At 39.4% G+C, this 6,116-nt stretch overlaps 1 protein-coding gene across 6 annotated transcripts in view; it reads left to right on the forward strand.

Annotated features, from left to right (window-relative positions):
• FAT4 (FAT atypical cadherin 4) overlaps window positions 1-5,595 on the forward strand; it is a 177,978-nt gene extending 172,383 nt beyond the window's left edge. For 4 of the 6 annotated variants that reach the window (NM_001438396.1, NM_001291303.3, NM_024582.6 and 1 more), the window contains 2 exons: window positions 8-269; window positions 2,564-5,595. In NM_001438396.1, the coding sequence (NP_001425325.1) occupies window positions 8-269; window positions 2,564-4,431 (2,130 nt within the window). In that variant the 3' untranslated portion in view covers window positions 4,432-5,595. The remainder of the gene's footprint in view (window positions 1-7; window positions 270-2,563) is intronic. The other 2 variants (NM_001438397.1, NM_001291285.3) reach the window with 1 other exon arrangement.

A 6,116-nucleotide genomic window follows, 5' to 3' on the forward strand; every position in this document is an offset into this window, starting at 1 on the left:
TTTACAGATTAAGAATGGCAAAGTATATTTTACATCCGATGCAGGAATTGCTGGGAAAGTGGAGAGAAATATTCCTGAAGTATATGTTGCAGACGGCCACTGGCACACTTTTCTAATTGGGAAAAATGGAACAGCAACAGTATTGTCTGTTGACAGAATATATAACAGAGATATTATCCACCCTACTCAGGACTTCGGTGGCCTTGATGTGCTTACTATATCACTTGGAGGAATTCCACCCAATCAAGCACATCGAGATGCCCAAACAGGTAAATGCCTTTATTAAGTAGAGTCACAAGGGAAGTAAAATTGTTCTTCAAAAAGTAATTGCTTTTTCTTGTGGCAAGACTACACATTTAACATGAATCTCATATACAGAACAATTTCATTCAATAAAATTTATGTTTAAAAAAGTAGTTTGATGTCTGATAATATCAATTATAAATATCCTAAGAATGTCATAACTATCTTCAGAAAGTTTGTAATAAACTATTAGCCACCACTTTCTCGAGAGCTTGCATCTTTCTTACCAAGGTTGTAATTCAGTCCATAGTGTTTTGATGCTTTGCTTGTCCACCAAGCATTTCATATACATTTGTTCATTTATTTATTCATTCACAGCCACTCTCTTCATAGACCATTAATGGAGACAAACATTAATCAAATTCTTACACAAGTAACTGCATTATTCTAATGTGTGATAAATAATACAAATGAAGAATGTAGAATTCTAAAATATAGTGAAAAAAGAGAAAGGAAGGGGAATTTTGCTGTGGAATTGACATGTATACATAAATCTGAATGATGAGGAGGATGAAAGTGTACGAAAGGTTAATTTATGTTGATAGGAATTTTTTTAAAGAAATCGTTTAAGCCAAAGTTATAGAAGACAACACATTGGAGGCTAACATCATAGGCAAATGATGAAGTTGGAGAATGAAGCAACTTCCTGACCATGTTGCAGTTTTGGTCTTATTTACAGAGCAATGGGAAGTAATTGAAAACTTTAATCACAGTAGGATCAAGTTAGATATGCAGTAATATTACAGATCATTCAGGCTACAGCATGGAGAATGAATTGGAGGAGGACACGAGTGGATCTACAGAAATGAGTTGGGATCTGGGCAAGATGTCTTCTGAGCTCCTACTAGTGTGGTGGCTGAGGAGTTAGAAAGAAATGGATAGGCAAGAAATATTCTGGGAACTAAAATCAACCAAACTGTTAGTGATTATGGTAAAATTCAAGGAGGTTTCTACTTCTCAACTCAAAGAAGGGTAGGTCAGCAAGAGAGGAAACTGCAGAACCCTCCAAAAGCAGCATATGTCTGAGAAATATTAGATTTGGTTTGGGACATTTTGGATTTGAAGCATCTTTGAGAAAATCCTTTGGATGGATGGGCTGGAAATCAGAAATAGACTTTAGCTGGAAATATATATTTAAGAGTGGTCAGTGTCAAGCAGGTAACTGAAGTACTGGACATGGATGTGATCACCTAACATGAGGGCGTAGAGTGAAAAGAAAGCCTGGGACGTCATCTTGATTAACCGTAAGAGTTAATGGTTATGTAGAGGAGAATAAGTCGGAAAAGAAGACTAAGTAATAGGAAGAAAATCAGGAGTATAGGAACAAAAAGAAAAGATGTCACAAAAGCTCATGGAAAAAATATATCAAGAATGAGAATGTCACTATGGTAGAATGATGCATTAAATAAGAGGAAAAAAATGCATGTGAGACTAATAGATTTAAGGCATAAAAGTTAAAGTCCAGGTCATAAGTCCTTTTTATATGGTTATTATAGAATGTTGTGAGAAAACAAACCAATGGAAATTACGCTTTTTGTAGTGTCAAAATAGATTGTTGGGCCCTGAGATAGGAATATCAGCACTGTTAACACACTCAAGTGTAATGAAGTGTTTCTTAACTTTGCATTTTATCTTTATCATTCCCCTAAGGAGACACTTAATATAGTCTAAACTTTGCCATCCCCAAGTCATAAAATGTTAACACCAGAGGTATGTTTTTATCTGCCTTTTAGAGGCCCACAAACCATTGTAATAGCTAAGATTTTTTTGTTTTGCTCCCCAAGAACCTATGTTCCACACCTTTGGTGTATTATCACCTTCAATGGGAATGCATGATTTAGTAGTTGAAGCCATTGGCCTATTTCATGTTCTTTACAAATTTAAAAAATATATATTTTATTTGTATGTATGCAATTTTTGGTATATGGGATGTAAAAAGGAAGGAAATTGATAAATAAATGAGTAAGAAAAAGAAAATTCAGCCTGCCCAAGTCATTCATAAATCTTCAGAATGAGTGGGATTCAAGCAATCTGACCCATGTTTGGTCATGGTAATCTTAACGCACCTTGCTAAGTTATAAGATGCACAGCTTAATTATCTTTCAGCTGGATGATGGTTCTGAGACTGAGGTTTCTGTATTCATGTATTCATATGAGGTGATTGTGGAGCTTCTCTTTACAAGAACCCAGCAGTGTAGTATAAGCTCTTTTTTTTTTTTTTTTTTTTTGTAAAAAGCCTTACTCCTTCTTCTTCTCCCAGCAGGTTTTGATGGCTGCATTGCTTCTATGTGGTATGGTGGAGAAAGTCTTCCTTTCAGCGGGAAGCATAGCTTGGCCTCCATCTCAAAAACAGATCCCTCAGTGAAGATTGGCTGCCGTGGCCCGAACATTTGTGCCAGCAACCCCTGCTGGGGTGATTTGCTGTGCATTAATCAGTGGTATGCCTACAGGTGTGTCCCTCCTGGGGACTGTGCCTCCCACCCGTGCCAGAATGGTGGCAGCTGTGAGCCAGGCCTGCACTCCGGCTTCACCTGTAGCTGCCCAGACTCGCACACGGGAAGGACCTGTGAGATGGTGGTGGCCTGTCTTGGCGTCCTCTGTCCTCAGGGGAAGGTGTGCAAAGCTGGAAGTCCTGCGGGGCATGTCTGTGTTCTGAGTCAGGGCCCTGAAGAGATCTCTCTGCCTTTGTGGGCTGTGCCTGCCATCGTGGGCAGCTGCGCAACCGTCTTGGCCCTCCTGGTCCTTAGCCTGATCCTGTGTAACCAGTGCAGGGGGAAGAAGGCCAAAAATCCCAAAGAGGAGAAGAAACCGAAGGAGAAGAAGAAAAAGGGAAGTGAGAACGTTGCTTTTGATGACCCTGACAATATCCCTCCCTATGGGGATGACATGACTGTGAGGAAGCAGCCTGAAGGGAACCCAAAACCAGATATCATTGAAAGGGAAAACCCCTACCTTATCTATGATGAAACTGATATTCCTCACAACTCAGAAACCATCCCCAGCGCCCCTTTGGCATCTCCAGAGCAGGAGATAGAGCACTATGACATTGACAACGCCAGCAGCATCGCCCCTTCGGATGCAGACATCATTCAACACTACAAGCAGTTCCGCAGCCACACACCAAAATTTTCAATCCAGAGGCACAGTCCCCTAGGCTTTGCAAGGCAATCCCCCATGCCCTTAGGAGCAAGCAGTTTGACTTACCAGCCTTCATATGGTCAAGGTTTGAGAACCAGCTCCCTAAGCCACTCAGCATGCCCAACTCCCAACCCTCTGTCTCGACACAGTCCAGCCCCTTTCTCCAAATCTTCTACGTTCTATAGAAACAGCCCAGCAAGGGAATTGCATCTTCCTATAAGGGATGGTAATACTTTGGAAATGCATGGTGACACCTGCCAACCTGGCATTTTCAACTATGCCACAAGGCTGGGAAGGAGAAGCAAGAGTCCTCAGGCCATGGCATCACATGGTTCTAGACCAGGGAGTCGCCTAAAGCAGCCGATTGGGCAGATTCCACTGGAATCTTCTCCTCCAGTCGGACTTTCTATTGAAGAAGTGGAGAGGCTCAACACACCTCGCCCTAGAAACCCAAGTATCTGCAGTGCAGACCATGGGAGGTCTTCTTCAGAGGAGGACTGCAGAAGGCCACTGTCTAGAACAAGGAATCCAGCGGATGGCATTCCAGCTCCAGAATCCTCTTCTGATAGTGACTCCCATGAATCTTTCACTTGCTCAGAAATGGAATATGACAGGGAGAAGCCAATGGTATATACTTCCAGAATGCCCAAATTATCTCAAGTCAATGAATCTGATGCAGATGATGAAGATAATTATGGAGCCAGACTGAAGCCTCGAAGGTACCACGGTCGCAGGGCCGAGGGAGGACCTGTGGGCACCCAGGCAGCAGCACCAGGCACTGCTGACAACACACTGCCCATGAAGCTAGGGCAGCAAGCAGGGACTTTCAACTGGGACAACCTTTTGAACTGGGGCCCTGGCTTTGGCCATTATGTAGATGTTTTTAAAGATTTGGCATCTCTTCCAGAAAAAGCAGCAGCAAATGAAGAAGGCAAAGCTGGGACAACTAAACCAGTCCCCAAAGATGGGGAAGCAGAACAGTATGTGTGAAGTTTATGTACTGGCACTATAAAATATAAAAACAAGAAATAATACTCAAACCATTGTAAAGTTGCTGACTAGGTTGGGTCACATTTGAAAAACAGGCCAGTATGGACTAGTGGTGGAGGGAAAACTTTAAAAATAATAACCACAATGCTGCTGAAACAGACTCACAACAACTCTTAATTTAAACATGTGTGGTTGAATTTATTTCCCTGCATGCATTGTGTTTTGTAACTAGTTATGTGGCATGCAGCATTTGGAAAATTTTTCTTATTTACCAGTGTTTGATTTGTGATTTTTAAAAATTGATACCTTTACCATTGCAGAAAAGAACTTGTGCTTTCCCAGTGGCGTATGTGTATTGTTTCAACTGTATTATTATAATTATATTTTGCATTGCAAGATTCTTGATGTTAAACCAATCCTTGTAAAGTGTAAAAAGGAACCCTCCTATCGTGGAATGAAAGATTAAGTATATTAACACTTTTCAGAATGATAGTTTCTGTATTTGATGTTGCTCAGAAATGTCTCAGTATTTGAGTAAGTTTTACATGACAGTGGGTACTGAAATTAAGTCATTTTGTTCAGCACTTTAACGCTTTCTTATAGAATTGTCTTAAAACTTCTGGATCCTTGAGCAAATGATTATAGTCTCCTGACTTTCATGAGGCTTCCATTAGGAACAGAATGATTGCATGTTGTCCCCAGAACACTGCCACCTTGCTATGCGAATGATGTTCTCAGCAGCACTTCTAAGAAACACTCTTAAAAGTTATTTATTGAAAATTTTTCGTATGCTTTTAATATTTTAAAGAATTGACCTAAGGAAAGCTTATGATTGGACTTATTTTCCAACCAGATAACATTTACTCTAAGTACCCAGTTTTTATAATTTATATGAAATCAGATTTCAACACTTACTTTGTCATTTTGTAGATCATTTTTTTAAAATACTGTGTAAAAACTTTTTTTACACCTAAGCTGTGTTTTTGATACTGATATTTTCCTATGCTGAATAGTTTTCTTACTTTCAGGGAAGGTAAGAAAATACTTTTTTTATATTTGTTACTTATGTAACATTCATATTTTTCTCATTTTGATATTTGTAACATACTGTATGCTTTCTACTTGTAAATGTCAACAATAGAATTAAAATATTTATTTAAAATATTTTGTATTCATAGTGTAATATTAATTTTTATCTTTCTATACTCTTTGTATGCCCAATTGAGAATAGTCTCTACTTGTCAATAGGGTATGGCTACTTGAACTGTATATGAGCAGCATCATTTTCTTTTAAAAAAATGTGAATATGGATCATTGCCAGAAGAGATATTTTAAAGTCACTTCAGTGCATTCCTACCTGTCAGAGTTCTTGGCCTTCCCTGGAGTATAATGAGTCTAGACTAGGTTGATCTTAGGGGACTAACTTTGTTAGGAAGCTGGTTTAAGCATTCTGGCAAGAAATGTTTGGAAATTCCCAGTAGAATGTGTTCACTGAAGACCAGCTTTAGATCAGTCTTACAGCTATAGAAGCAGCAATGAATTAGAGCTAATTACGGAAAAATGTCTGGGACTAATCTTCTCCAAAGACCCAGCCCAAAATTCTCTAAGTCCAAGGGCGGGTAGAAAGAATGATAGTGAAAGCTCCACTCTACATATGTGTCTTTAATTTATTGATTACTCTGCTG

Source organism: Homo sapiens, chromosome 4 (genome assembly GCF_000001405.40).
Source record: "Homo sapiens chromosome 4, GRCh38.p14 Primary Assembly".
NCBI classification, from domain to species: Eukaryota; Metazoa; Chordata; class Mammalia; order Primates; family Hominidae; genus Homo; species Homo sapiens.